The following is a 15903-nucleotide window of genomic DNA, read 5'->3' as shown; positions in this document are numbered from 1 at the left end:
GAAGTGTTGCTTGTTTTTTTTAAATTTGAAAAGCCCATATAATCATTATCTGATTCAATTCAACCCTTTCTTCATTGGTAGATAGTTCTATAACATCTTGGCATTAAACCATTACAAGCTGACTGTAAATCTGTTTTGTTATGGAAATATTTCATTCTTATAGGTACCCAATATATTAAAAAAAGGTCTCACAAGTAAAATTACAATGAAGCTGCATGGCACTAAAATAACACGATCATAATTATGAAGTAGCACACCAGTGTCATGGGGCAGCACATAATTAAATGGCAAATGAAATAGGGAGAGAGGATGTGTTGTGAACTCAGACATGGACAAATAAATGGTGACTGGAGTGTCTGGTTCTAAGGATTAGGCATTTTGCATTTTGCGTTTTCAGTGAGCATTTTCAGCTCACTGAATCTAGCACCTTTAGGGTTGGGTGTTAACAGATTGGAACAAAGCACTTAAATTTCTGAGCCTAAGTTTCCTAATCAGTTAAGTGAGCATGATAATACCTACCTTATCTTTTAGGGCTGTTAGAAGAAATATCAAAGATTTATGTAGGCTGGGCATGGTAGCTCAAGCCTGAGCCTCATTAGCTCAGCTAATCAGGAGGCTGAGGCAGGAGGATGCTTGAGCTGAGGAGTTCAGGGCTGCAATGAGCTATGATTGCGCCACTGCACTGTACCCTGGGCGACCTAATAAGGCCCGTCTCTAAAATAACAATAATAATAAAGATTAATAATAATAAATGATGTATAATAGATTAATGCTTTTTCTTTATTACTGGGAATAATTGAATTTTTCTACAAATAATACTTCTTATATTTTCTTCCTTGGTATGTTATAAGATTCTTATTCAAAATTCTACGTTGTCTCAAGTATTCTTACTGCAAACCAAAGTTTTAATGAATGTGATTTTGTGGATACTTAGTACTTTTCAATATATCGATACACAAGTATTTTTAAGTACCTACTAAGTGCTGGGTCCTGAAAGAATGTGGGCTCTTAGGTGAGATTGCCCAGGATTGAGTCTCCACTCCACTATTTATTAGCCATGTCCCATCTCTGGTTTCTGATTCCTCATCTATAAAAAAGAGAAATAATCAGAGTAATTATTCACAGAATTCTCATGAAGTTTAAATAAGATAATCTACATAAGTACTTAGCACAGTGCTTGACACATTATAATCATTGAATGAATGCCTAGCTGTTATTATCTTGTCCTATAAGTATAGCTGCATAGAGGAAGGATATAAAATAAATGGAAAGAATTATTCCTGTCTCTAAGAAACTAATAATCTATTTCAGAAGAAAAGGACTATATTAAAGAACTAGAGAGAAATCACAAGATAATTATATTAGTTAAGCGTTTTTATTTGCAAGCAACAGAAATTAACTTTGCTTTATTTAAGAAAAAAAGATTGAGTGCTGGAACAAATTCATTTTAATGATTCAGGAGGGTTCCACAGACTCAAAAAACAAGTTCAACCATCGAACCTTGACAAGGACAAGAAGCAAGTCAGCTCCTGAAATTTGGCAACTAGAACAAAGTATGAATTCTATGGCCCCCTGAGTTCAGGCAGTGCTAAAGTCTGAATGTTTGTGTCCCCCCACATTCATATGTTGAAACCTAATACCCCATGTGATAGTATTAGGAGGTGGGGCAATTGGGAGGTGATTAGGCTATGAGGGTGGAGCCCTCTTGAATGGGATCAGTACCTTACAAAAGAGACCCTAGAGAGTTGCCTTGCCCCTTCCCCCACGTGAGGACACAACTTGAAGGCACTATCTCTGAGGAAGAAGGCCCTTGCCAGAGACCAGATTTTTTTTTTTGAGACAGAGTTTCACTTTGTTGTCCAGGCTGCAGTGCAGTGGCGCGTGATCTTGGCTCACTGCAACCTCCGCCTCCCGGGTTCAAGCAATTCTCTTGCCTCAGCCTCCTGAGTAGCTGAGATTACGGGTACCCACCTCCACACACAGTTGATTTTTTGTATTTTAGTGGAGATGGGGTTTCACCATCTTGCCCAGGCTGGTCTCAAACTCCTGAGCTCAGGCAATCTGCCTGTCTTGGCCTCCCAAAGTGTTAGGATTACAGGCGTGAGCCACCGTGCCCGGCCTCCAGACACCAAATTTGGCAGCACCTTGACTTTGCAGCCTCCAGAACTGTGAACAATAAATTCCTGTTGTTTATAAGCTACCCAGTTTATAGTACTTATGGTGTAGCAGACTGAGCAGGCTATGACAGCCAGTAAGGTGACTTCAGCTCCAACATCTCCCAGTCTCTGGGGCTCTGTGTCTCAAGTTTCACAGTTTCAGGAGGGAGAAACTGATCGGTTCAGCTCATGTCAGTTTTTTACTTCCATGTTGATTAATTGTCATACTCTCACATGAGACATGTATTTGGCCCCTTGTTAACTCTCTGCCCTCTGCCCTCATTTTTTTTTTTTTTTGAGATGGAGTCTGGCTCTGTTGTCCAGGCTGGAGTGCAGTGGCATGATCTCGGCTCACTGCAACCTCTGCTTCCCGGATTCAAGTGATTCTTCTGCCTCAGCCTTCCAAATAGCTGGGACTACAGGTGTCTGACACCACGCCCGGATAATTTTTGTATTTTTAGTAGAGATGGGGTTTCGCCATATTGGCCAGGCTGGTCTCGAACTCCTGACCTTGTGATCTGCCCACCTCGGCCTCACAAAGTGCTGGGATTATGGACATGAGCCACCGCACCCGGCCCTCTGCCCTCATCTTTTATAGTGCTCCAGCACTCTGACTTCTTTGCTTTCCTTCAAAAAGAGCCAGACATGCTATGGCTCAGGAAATTTCCACTTGCCATTCCTTTTGCCTACCATGTTCTTCTCTTAAATAACCACATGAATTACTTAAATCTCCTTCAAATGTTTGTTCAAATGTATCTTCTCAACAAGGCCTTCCCTGACAAAGTTATTTAAAATTTCAACAGCCCCTCCTCTACACACATGCATACACATATACACTTCTACTTCCTCCCTCTGTGCTCTATTTTTCTCTGCAGTAATTATAACATTCAGTACCAGTTAGCTATTACTGAGTAATAAAACATCACAAACTTAATGGCTTAAAACAACATTTTATTCAGCTCATTATTCTGTGGGTTGGCTGGGCAATTCTTCTACACTGGACTGGCTCAGCTCATCTTTTCTGGGTTTGCTCATGCACTGATAGTCAGCTGGGAGGTCAGCTGGTGACAAGATGATCCAGAATGGCCTCATTCACATTTCTAGTGTTTGGCAGGCTGTCAGCTGGAGACCTCTGTTTTCTTCTATGCAGCATTCTCATCTTCCAGGAGGCTTCCTTGGATTCATTCACATGGTCATCTCAGCATTTCAAGAGCAGTAATACAGTAAGCCCCAGCGAACCAGCACTTTTCAAACCTCTGCTTGTGCTTATATCTTATTTGCTAAAGTCTTTTTGGCCAAAGCAAGTCACACAGCCAGCTCAGATTTAATGAGTTGAGAAAATAGACTCCAATTCTTGGTGAGAAGAGCTGCAAAGACATGCTGCAAGGAAACATGATAAACAGATGTGCAAAGAGGGATAAGAAGAATTTGTGGCCATATTTGCAAGCTACCACACCTTCTAGCATACCATGTAATTTACTTATTTATTTTGCATATTGAAAAAAAGACTCTCCATTCATTTGTGAATCCAGGACACAAGAATAACACTGGTTGAGAGGGATTTGTGTAGAAGAATCAGTTTCAGTTATTTTGCTCACACTGAAGAAAAGATGACTGTTTATGTGAGAAGGTTTCCTTCCAATCAACCCATCAATTGCTACATTTGTATGTTACAGCATCTGTGCAGTCTTTTAGCTGTTTTAATAGAACAATGTATTAACTACCCTAGTAATTGCACAGACAAAATCAACATCCCACATGAACATTTAAATGAATGCAAATCAACCTAATGGCCTCTCCTAGAGGGAGCATAATCATGCAAAAAACATTTGTACTAACTGATGCTATATATGCAAATGAGATTTTAATTTTGATACACTTTCACATGGACCTAGCTTCAATTCAATGCAAATCCACTTGTAATATATCATTAAAGCTGAATCAGTCTATTTTCTAATGTGCTTAATATTGATATAGACAATGAAGTTTAATTTTTAGAATATCAGGTGTTCTATTCTGCACATTACTTAACCACCTCCGAGAGAGAACATTATTTTAAGGATGGGGACATAATGTCTTGCCTTCCTACGTTTTTTTCTTTTCTTTTCCCTAACCATCCTCCACCATCCCACTTTTCTCAATGTTGCCCTATAATTTTGTTTGTTAAGATAATTTTAAGAGTTCAAAATGGCATTACTCTTTTGCAATTTACACTTGACCTCAGAAGAAGGAAGGAAGGAAGGAGAGAGGAGAGAGAAAGAAAAGAAAAGAAAAAGAAAGAAAGAAAGAAAAAAAGAGAGAGAGAGGGAGGGAGGGAGGGAGGGAAGGAAGGAAGGAAGGAAGGAAGGAAGGAAGGAAGGAAGGAAGGAAAAGAAAAACTAATCGAACACTTACTCTGTGCCAGACACTAAAACCCTAGACTAATCCTATGAGGTAGATATTATTGTCCCCAGCTTACAGCTAAGGAAAGAAAGGCACAAAGAAGTTAAGTAATTTACCAAAGATCATACAATTATTAAATGGTATATCTAGCTTTGAACTTAAGTCTTTGAGCAGGGCTTTTTGAGGATGTAATTAACAACCACTCCTGGAAGTATTTTGCATTTCTGATAAAAATGTTTGAGCGTTTTTCTAATAGATGTTTAGATTTACAGCTCTGTCGGGATTCTCCAGAGAAACAGAGTCAAAGGTGATAGACATAGATGTAGACATAGACATAGGTAAAGAGAGAGAGATTGATTTATTACAGGAATTGGCTCACGCAATTATAGAGGCTGAGAAGTCTCATGATCTGCCCTTTGCAAGCTGGAGCACCAGGAAAGCTGGTGGTATAACTCAGTCAGAATCCAAAGGACTGAAAACAAGTGGGGATGGGGTCAGTAAAGAGGGAGTAGTGATGCAGACACAAGCAGGAGTGTCACTAATCGGGCAAGAGAAGATGAATGCATGTCTCAGGCTCAAACAGGGAGGAAATTCACCCTTCCTCCACCTTTTTGTTCTATTCAGGCCTTCAATGTATTTGCTGATGCCCACCCACATTGGTGAGAGCAAGCTTCCCTACTCAGTCTACCAATTCAAATTGCTAATCTCTTCCAGAAAACTCACATACACTTGCAGAAATAAAGTTTTACCAATTGTCTGGTTATCCCTTAGACCAGTGAAATAGACACATAAAATCAGCCATCAGAAGACCTGTCTGGGAAGTTAAATCTATGCTCACAATGCATTAACGACTCACCCAGTCATTTTTTGGTTTGGATTCCAGAACCAGACCTTCTTTCTATTATCCAGTTTAACAGTAGTATCTAGCCATACTCTCATCTTATTTAAAAAATATATTCTACTGGCACTCCAATGCATTGCTTGGTGGAGTGTAAATATGTACACTTCCACTCCTTTGGAAAACTGTTTGGCAGTATTTCCAAATGCTAATTTATACAAACTCAATGACCCAACAATTCTACTCCTGAGTATATACCCAAAAGAAATTAGTGCATGTTCTGCCAAAAGCTTTAAACAATAAGGATCACAGATGCTTTAATTATAATAGCCAAACACTGGAAGCAACTCTAATGTCCAACAACAGGTAAATAGACAAGTAAACTGTGATATAGTCATAAATATACGTACACAGTAATTGAAAGGAATGAACTACTGCTACATGCAAAAGCATGGGTGATGCTCACAGACATTTTTTTGTAGGGCAAGAGAAGACTAGGCACAAAAGAGGACATATAGTGTAATATCATTTATATGAAGTTCAAGAAAAGGCAAAACTTGTAAATGGTTACCTGGGTAAGATAAAGTAGTACTGATTGGGAAGTGGCACAAGGGAGCAACTTGGGGAGATGGGAATGTTCTCTACCATAACCTGAATTGTGAATTGTGGTTACATAGGTTTAAAAATTTATCAAGCAATTAAGATTAACATACTTAATTATATATTATATATACTAATCTCTATATAATATATAGATTATATATACTAATCTCTATATAATCTATAGTTTATCTATAGATTATATATAATCTATAGTTTATCTATAGATTATATATAATCTATAGTTTATCTATAGATTATATATAATCTATAGTTTATCTATAGATTATATATATAGATTTTATATATAATTATATATAATTATATATATAGATTATATATAGATTGTATATATAATCTATAGATAATATATAGATTATATATAGATTGTATATATAATCTATAATCTATAGATTATATATTATCTATAGATAGATTATAGATTATATATACAATCTATAGATTATCTATAGATTATATATACTAACTATATATTATATATAGATTATATATACAATCTATGTATTATATATAGATGATATATACTATATATAGTATATGTCAAAGGTTTTATTCAAACTTATATATACTATATAGTGTAGTATGTTATATATACTATATAGTATATAGTGTAGTATGTTATATATACATATATAGTATATAGTGTGGTATGTTATATATACATATATAGATTGTGGTATGTTATATATACATATATAGTATAGATTGTGGTATGTTATATATACATATATAGTATAGAGTGTGGTATGTTATATATACATATATAGTATAGAGTGTGGTATGTTATATATACATATATAGTATAGAGTGTGGTATGTTATATATACATATATAGTATAGAGTGTGGTATGTTATATATACATATATAGTATAGAGTGTGGTATGTTATATATACATATATAGTATAGAGTGTGGTATGTTATATATACATATATAGTATAGAGTGTGGTATGTTATATATACATATATAGTATAGAGTGTGGTATGTTATATATACATATATAGTATAGAGTGTGGTATGTTATATATACATATATAGTATAGAGTGTGGTATGTTATATATACATATATAGTATAGAGTGTGGTATGTTATATATACATATATAGTATATGTGTATATATTATACATACATATATTGTATATATGTATATACACAATATATGTATATCTGTATATACAATTATATACATATATACTAATATACGTATATATACTAATATATACATATATACTAATATATGTATATATACTAATATATACATATATACTAATATATGTATATATACTAATATATACATATATACTAATATATGTATATATGTATATACAATTATATACATACATACTAATATTGGTATATATACGTATATACAATATATGTATATATAACATACATATATACATATACTATATATGTATATATAACATACTATACTATATACATATATATGTATATACACATATACACATATGTAGTATATGTCAAAGGTGTTATTCAAACTTATAGCAAATGAAGGTAAAGAATCTTTCTTGAATAGGATTATTCTTAACTTTCTTGAAGTATTATATATATTATATATAAATAAATAAATAAAACCTTTGACATATACTAGAAATCAATTTTCTGAGAAGTTGCTTTAATATGTGTTTGGCTCCAATGTCGTGTGCTTTACATTCACTGGATAAAATTATGCCCCTTTACTGTTATCTATCTAGCCAGAAGGCAGCCTATTATTTACTGCTCTACTTAAAAGCCTTCTTTATCCCAGGTATACCTATGGCTTGTATTACATTTATCTCTCAGGTTAGTAGTTGACCTATTTATTCATGCACTGTTATCCCATTACCCAGTAATCTCTCTGTTTCACGTGTCTTTGTTTTCCCAGAGTTCCTGCCTCAGTGCAAAGCCAACTAAGGAACTTCAATATAGTTTTTGAATTAAACCACAGAATAAGTTGCTTTACATATTTCATCCACATCTAGTTTTCCAAGGAGATGAACAATTTGGGGCAGAAGTAGGATGCAAGCTTTTTTCCCTAAGAATTCCTTGCTCCCAGATTTGCTTTTCCATACATCTATCAGAGATGCCCAGAGAATGTAAGGTTATTGTAAAAAGAGAGTTGCAAAGCATTGCCAAGAGGCCTACAGAAGATAAAGAGAACCATGTTTGTTTCTTTATAAGTATACCTATGATATTTGCCTGAAAACACAAACACTCATATGAAATCCTTTGGATAATTCATACTCACATACACACATACACACACACACGTATGTATGTGTGTATATCAGCTTTATTGAGATATAATTTACATAACACGCAATTCACCCATTTAAAGTGTACAATTCAATAGTAGTATATTCACAGAGTTGTACAGCCATCACCACAATCAATTTTACAATATTTTCATCACCCCAGAAAGAAACCCTGTAACTATCAGCAGTTACCTCTCATTTTTCCAATCCTCCAGCCTTAGGCAAGCACTAATCTACTTTCTACCTCTACCGAGTTGCCTATTCTGGACATTTTACATATATCGAATCAACAATGTGTGATCTTTTGTCATTGGCTTCCTTCACTTAGCATGCTGTCAAGGTTCATATATGCTGTAGCATGTATCCATACTTAGTTCGTTTATTTTGTTGAGTAATATTTCATTGTATGGACATTGCACATTTTATTTATACATTAATGAATTGATGGACATTTTGGTTGTTTCCACTTTTTGACTATTTTGAATAATGCTCCTATGAACATTCATGTATCAGCTTTTGTGTGGACATTTGTTTTCATTTTTCTTGGATATATACTGAGGAGTGAAATTGATGGATCATATGGTACTCTATGTTTAAACTATAAGGCTCCCATTTCTCCACCTCCTCATCAACATTCATTATTATCTACTTTTTACATTTTTATTTTATTATTTTGTAGAGACAGGTCTTGCTTTGTTGCCCAGCTGGTCTTGAATTCCTGGTTTCAAGTGATCCTCCTGTCTTGGCCTCCCAAAGTACTGGGATTACAGATATAGGCCACCACACCTAGCCTGTTTTTTAAAATTATTATTATAGCCATCCTAGTAGGTTGGTCTCTCAGCTGTTACGTTGATTTGCATTTTCCTAATAATTGGTTATGTTGAGCATCTTTTCGTGTGCTTATTGGCCATTTATATGTCTTTTTCAGAGAAATGTCTATTTCGATTCTGTATCCATTTTCAACTGGAGTGTGTTTGCATGATTTTTACGCAGAGCAAAACACAAATGCAAAACATAAGAGGACATGTGACTCCCATTTAATTTTCCTTCACAGTGGCAAGGCCAACATACATTTGGGAATATTAGGTATTAGTGTTCCCGGACCAAACCAAGGGTCGGGCTGCTGATCCTTGCGGCCCAATAATGAGATGCAGATGAACTAGGAGAGAAGGGAGTTTTTATTTCTGTAACCAGTTACAGGGAGAAGGCCTGGATATTATTGCCAGACCAATCCAAAATTACAATGTTTTTCAGAGCTTATATACCTTCTAAGCTATATGTCTAGATGTAAGTGTGCATTCATCTAAAGACAGAAGTGATTAACTTCTTTTAATCTATAACTAAGATCTGAGTCCTGAAGACCTTCCTCTGAAGCCTCAGTAAATGTACTTAATCTAAATGGGTCCTGGTGCTGGAGTGATTACCTTTATCTTGTCTCCTGGTAGGTCATGGAGGTTTGGGGAGTTCCTTTAGTCCCCAATAAAGCTTGCTTGTGGAGGCCTGGGGAGTTTCTTCAGACCCCCAATAAAATTTTTTAATCCTAAAAAGGTCCTGTTAAGAATTCCTTCGTTATCTTGCCATGCTTCAGGGCCCAGGAAAGGCCTGGGCAAAACTCTTGGTGGGCTTTTGTTACCTTCCAGCCTTTGTATAAGGGCACTGGCTCTATCAGCTTTTAATATTTAACTTTACCACTCAGTCAGTGCTGAAACAGTTGTTATGGAGGCCTGTGTTAGTGAGTCCTGGTCTGCCACATTAGTATGACACAATGAAGATAAAATAATGCAGGGAATAAAACCTAAATGAAGCATAATTGTGATATGTTTTTATCTGTTTGGAAAACAACTTAACTCCAGTCCTGTAAGACTTAGTATTTATCTCAAGCATTAGTGGCACTTCCTTTTTTTTTTTATTTTCTTTCAGCTAAAAGCCAAAGAACTGTTAAATTGCCAAGAGGCCTTCATTTTGTCAGAATTGAGATTAAAATATCCAAGAGAAGTTAAAGCAATTATTTTCCACTGGGTGGGCTATTATTAGGTAAATTTTACTTTGCTTTTCAATGTATCTAATAAAAACTCTTTGTATGATTATCCCCCCCACTCAAGCCCATCCCACATCCAGGAGTTATTTTGGCTTCATATGACCTTATTGTAAAAACATTAAAACCTGTGTACCATCTAAAACTATCTTTAGGATTAATGATATTTGTAGTAAAATAGTCAGCTTTTATTTTTTAGTATGAGACTTCAATAGGAAACAAAAAGAGCTGTCTCCACTGGACTGTTTAGTAGACTGATACCAACTCCCATATATGAAAGAGCCCTGGCCACACCACGACGCAAGAGATTTTTATGATAAAGAAGTATAATTCCACTACATAATTTGCAACAAGTAAAATGCTACAACCTGAAGTCTCATAGAGCCTAATGATATCTCAACTTTCCACAGTGAGTATTCTCTGGGTCACTTACAGCTCCTGTTATGAACTCTGCAGAAATAGTCTTGCTACTCGCATGGTCTGCTTACCGCTCTTCATTGGTGTGGTTAATTCAGTATCTTCTGCCTTCCAGTCTTTCTTTTAATATCCAAAGCATCTCAAATTTCTCTCCATACAGCATTGACAAAGGAAGCAGCAAAGTTTCTCTTCTGACCTGCTCACAACTCCAGTTCTCCTAGATGCCCACAATTTTTGCAATAAAGTTTCAGATTAGAGAATTTCACTTCCCAAGTCATATCTTTTTTTTTTTTTTTTTTGAGACAGAGTCTCACTCTGTTGCCCAGGCTGGAGTGCAGTGGCGCAATCTCGGCTCACCGCAAGCTGCGCCTCCCGGGTTCACGCCATTCTCCTGCCTCAGCCTCCCGAGTAGCTGGGACTACAGGTGCCCGCCACCTCGCCTGGCTAATTATTTTATTTTATTTATTTATTTTGAGATGGAGTCTCGCTCTGTCACCCAGGCTGGAGTGCAGTGGCGCTATCTCGGCTCACTGCAAGCTCCGCCTCCCGGGTTCACGCCGTTCTCTTGCCTCAGCCTCCCAAGTAGCTGGGACTACAGACGCCCGCCACCACACCCGGCTAATTTTTTGTATTTTTAGTAGAGATGGGGTTTCTTCGTGTTAGCCAGGATGGTCTCGATTTCCTGACCTCGTGATCTGCCCGCCTCGGCCTCCCAAAGTGCTGGGATTACAAGCGTGAGCCACTGTGCCCGGCCCCCAAGGCACATCTATTTATGGTAAAGTGGCTTCTGAAAACTAAAGAAATTCACTCTGGAATAAAGTCATGATGGACCTTTCCCTTTTCTTTCAAAGACCTGAGAGTCAAAGAGGCTGGAGTGTCAACTTCGAGGGTCAGATCTGACTTCAAGCCTTAGAACTGCCCTTTGTTGACAGGGGTGTTTTTATTAGGGCGGTTTATTTGACAAGTTCTAGGTTTCAGACTTCAAAATCTACTCCAGTGTGGCCTGGTGCGGTGGCTCACTGCCACTTTCAGGAGACCTCGCTTAATTGGTTCTGGGAATTTTAACTTTCCCTTACCCCATGCACCACCTGATTTCCATCTGTTTGCTTGTTGGCTCCGTCACAAAGCTGAGAAACACTGGGGACAAAAAGGCACTGAAGAATTTAGTTTCATTTTAAAGCTCAATCCCTAAGATTGTCTATTGAAATTTGGTATCTCATGGTTGTGGGTGACAGGATTAGGCACGTGCAAAATTATGGGACATGGGGAACTTTTCTTTCTCCCCCAAAGTGGGAAACTTGAGAGCTAATAGGATTGATGCTAAAGATCCCTTCGTGACTGACAAGCAACCGCCTGAACTTTTGATTCAGTGTCGCCGCAATGGGTGAGTCTTTTTCTGGTTTCCCTGAGCTCCTCACTTTCCCCCACTCTGCTGTAAGCAATGTTTTTCTTGTTATCTTTCTCTCTTTTCCCTTTCCTATCTTTTCTATCACTCAGGGCGACTGTCTGTTCTTCCATCTTGCCTAGAGACCCTGTGTTGAAACTCCTGGTTTCAACATTCCACCCCACTTTGAGTGGATCAAAGACAACAAGGGCCAATGAGGGCAAATTTGAGCCATGCCAGGTTGATATTAGGTGCTGAGTGGGATGGCTAAAGTCTATGTTTTGTCACATGTACTTTGCCCCAGCCAGAGTGCAAAATGTTAATTTGGCTCCCACATGCAGCTCATTGGGCAGCATCTTGCAAAGTTGGAAAAACATGATTTTCTTTTGTAATGTGTCTTGGCCCACAAAGCTATGGCACAGTAAGCAGGGCCATCAAACCACCCAGAGAAAGGAAGTCCAGAAACCTGGCATGCCAGCAAAAGAGTAAGAATTTCTTAGCAGTCAGGATTCTGGTCTCTCTCTTTCTGTGTAAACCAGTTGAATAAACGGTAAAAATCACTATTTGTCTCCTCTGCAAGGTTTTGATTAACTGGAAAAAGGATTTGTGAGGCTAGTCTTAGGCTATAGTGAATCGAGTGTATTTTGTGCTATGAATTTGCCTTTCTGTGTCATTCTGTCATAAAAAGGGGTACCATAGAATAAAATGTGGGCCTAGGACCCCTTTAAGCCCACTATTCAAGCTGGCTTAACAAACTGGTCAGGTATAAAGTTTGCTACAGATACCTGAAGCAAGAACTAGATGAGGTTTACCCCTTGTCTTGTTTTATGTCCTTGGGAGCTTAACCTTGTGACCATTTGGGGGTACTTTCTCTTGGTATCCACCATCTGGGGTGTGGGAATTTTGAGGTTCATGTCATAGTTAGCCCTAAAAATTATCATGAGTAGTTAAAAGCATTTGAAAACTCAAAATTGGCTGCTCTAGGCTCCTTCTGGGAAGAGCACCTGAGACTGCTCCATGCTATAGCCCAGTAGCTAAGGCTTTATCTCTTTACAATGGTAGCTCATGTTCAATTCCCAGCTTAGGTAATGAGTCCCTTCTGGTTTTATGTTTGTGTGACCTTTGCCATTTACTGATTATTTACCCCTCCATGAACAACTTCTGACTTCCTGTCTCAAATTTTCTTTTCTCTGATACTTTGGATACTCTAAAACTTGTAAAACTGCTTGCCATTTCTTTGAAGACACCTTGTGTGTTCATGGTTAAGTCATACCCTTAGTTAAGGCTTACTGGTTTCACCTGGGAGGTTACCTTTGGTAAAATTCAAAACCCAGAAATATTGGCTGTTTGTCCTGGCTAGAGTCTGTTAAAAGAGATTTGGCTAAAAATCAGCTTAATTAAAAGCATACGACCTATCTGTAAACTTACTTAAAAGACCTTTATGCTTTTTCTCTTCTTGGGTCTTGTTTGTTTGATAAAATGTTTTTTGTTTTGTTCTCATCAATTGACTGAATTATTTCCCCAGTCTGTTTTCTTGCCCTCAATGCCCAAATGAAAGGGCCTAAAATGATTTTTGACAGCCTGGCACTCCTTGGAAAAATACAGATAAGGCACCACAGACCCTTTTTTGAGAGAAACCTCTGTTTTCCTCATAAAGCCCCAGGAATTGTAAGTGAATAGATCCCTGTAAAAATCTAAGGCTGTCCTCCATTTTGCACTGCATTACCTGACTTTTTGACTTTTGGGGATATCAAAAATTACTTTGCATTATTAAAGAGCTTTTAACCTTGGCTTGTAATAACTAGATAAGAAATACACTTTTGGGGATGGCTAATGGCAGTTATGGGGGAGAAATAGTCCACTACTTGCATGTTTGAATCAGAGAAGCATGGTTTTAGCCACCTGCAAAATATGAAAATGTCCACCACCACCCCCTCCCTCAAAATTTAAAACTCTCACAGGAGATGGGCTGATTGGTTTTGGATTGCCCATCAGCTTCAGGGAAATGTCCTTGCAGTAAAATTTGTGGTAAAAGCATTGCACTGTCTGGTCCTATAGCATTTCCCTCTTTTTAATGACCCAGAATTTGGCATAAAAATGTGAAAGAAAAACTTAAAATCTAGCAAATGAAAAATCTTTAACTATCAAATCTGCCCTGCCTGTCCATCTGTGTATTTATGTGTTGTATGTGTCTGATATCTTGCTACCAAAATAAATGAAAGCTCTGATTAATTGGCTTAAAAGTAATAAGCATTTAAATATCTTTCCAGAAAAAAGAAACTTTAATGCCTTTTAGTTCACATGGCTTTAGTAATCTTTGGGAAATAAAGATAATTTTAAAGATTATTGGTAACATAAAAATGTTTTGAAAATCTAAATTAGGCCGCTCGGATACTGTGTTTACTAAACTACACAGTCTGGTTCTTTGACTTTTGATAATTGTTCAACTTACCTGCTTTAGAGCCATTAGATTCTAGGTAAGGCCTTGGGACATGTAGAGTTAGCCATGCCCCCTTGCTATGCTGGAAAGAATCAAACCTTATCTGCACTTCTGTCTGGTGTCCTAAGCTCCACACTTGATACATAATTAAAATCACCTACTTACCAGGATTTTTTTTTTACCAAAAATAAAAGTTGCTAAAAGTTAACATTGTAACATATGTAATTGAGACTACTGGTGAAACAGTTTCATGTGCAATGTTTATAAGGAAAGTAGAATGTGTTTTTGGTAAAAGAGTATAAGAAGGCACGGGAGCATGATTTTTGCCTAGCTTAGAGGGTTAAAGGATTGTTTTAATTTAAATAGGAAAAAGCCAAAGGTTTGAGTATGTTGTGGAACGTTTTTGAAAGGTTAATCTTGTAAAAGAAATTCTGTGTGTGAACATATTGGCTAAAGCTAAAGGGATATTATTTAGTTTCCCCATAACTTGAACATTGGAATAAAAGCACAGCAGGGTTTTCTTAGCACACTGATGTGCTTTTTTGCAGAACATTGTAAAGGGTTATGAAAGTTTTCTGAAAATATTACCTTATTGTCAAACAGATTAAGATTGGATAGATTTGTCTATAAGGTTTTATTAAGAATTAGGTTTGACATTAATAGTACACTAATACAAAGTTGAAATTTGGCTTTCTCTCTTGAACAAGATTTTCATGTAATATTAAGAGATAATGAAAAATTGTTGTTAAAAGAAGAGAGAAAAAAAGAAAGATTGTTTGGAAAGCTAAGTCTTCCCTTTATCAGTAAGTAAAGGTTTTTGCGTTTTTAAAATCTTTATCATTTTGGCTAATAAATGACTTATGGTGACCTGAGATTCTATTTTATAATATCAAGTGTTTTAAACCTTTGATATTTGACAAACTTTCTGGTTCATTTCAGAATCAAGGAGACTTTTCTTTTGAGCTATTTACAGCTTTTAACAATTGAGTAAAGCACACTTCTATAAACAAAATTTGGAGCATATTTCTTTCTCTCTACCAAATTTCTCCAGAATTTAGAAACTATCTGTGAGCATTGTTAATTTATGGCAATATAGTTATTTGCATAAGAATTGCAATAAGAATCTGTTTTCTTTTATAACAGGACACAATTGGAGACACTTGTTATTTTACCAAGGCTTTGACTGGAATGGTGTGCTTTCAGATATAAATAGACTGCTTTAAGGAATCAAATTTGACTCATAGGCTGATAAAAGCCCCTTGGGAAAACTGGCATCATACCTTTTCTACACAGTCCCTGTACAGGTCCCTGACAGGCCCAGGAGGCCCAAGTTATCTTGGGACTTTGAAAGGAGAGGAATTCACCCAACTTGT

General features: G+C 36.8%; 1 protein-coding gene across 1 annotated transcript in view; it reads right to left on the bottom strand.

Moving 5' to 3' along the window:
* The window catches only part of SYTL5 (synaptotagmin like 5), a 239906-nt gene extending 228885 nt beyond the window's left edge, over positions 1 to 11021 (bottom strand). Inside the window, exons 1-2 of the mRNA XM_017029972.1 lie at positions 10778 to 11021; positions 974 to 1087 (exon numbers count right to left, since the gene is read on the bottom strand). The gene's annotated coding sequence lies outside the window, so the exon portion shown is untranslated. The remainder of the gene's footprint in view (positions 1 to 973; positions 1088 to 10777) is intronic.

The sequence above is a fragment of the Homo sapiens genome, chromosome X, assembly GCF_000001405.40.
Source record: "Homo sapiens chromosome X, GRCh38.p14 Primary Assembly".
NCBI lineage: Eukaryota > Metazoa > Chordata > Mammalia > Primates > Hominidae > Homo > Homo sapiens.
This window is presented reverse-complemented; position numbering and strand designations above follow the sequence as displayed.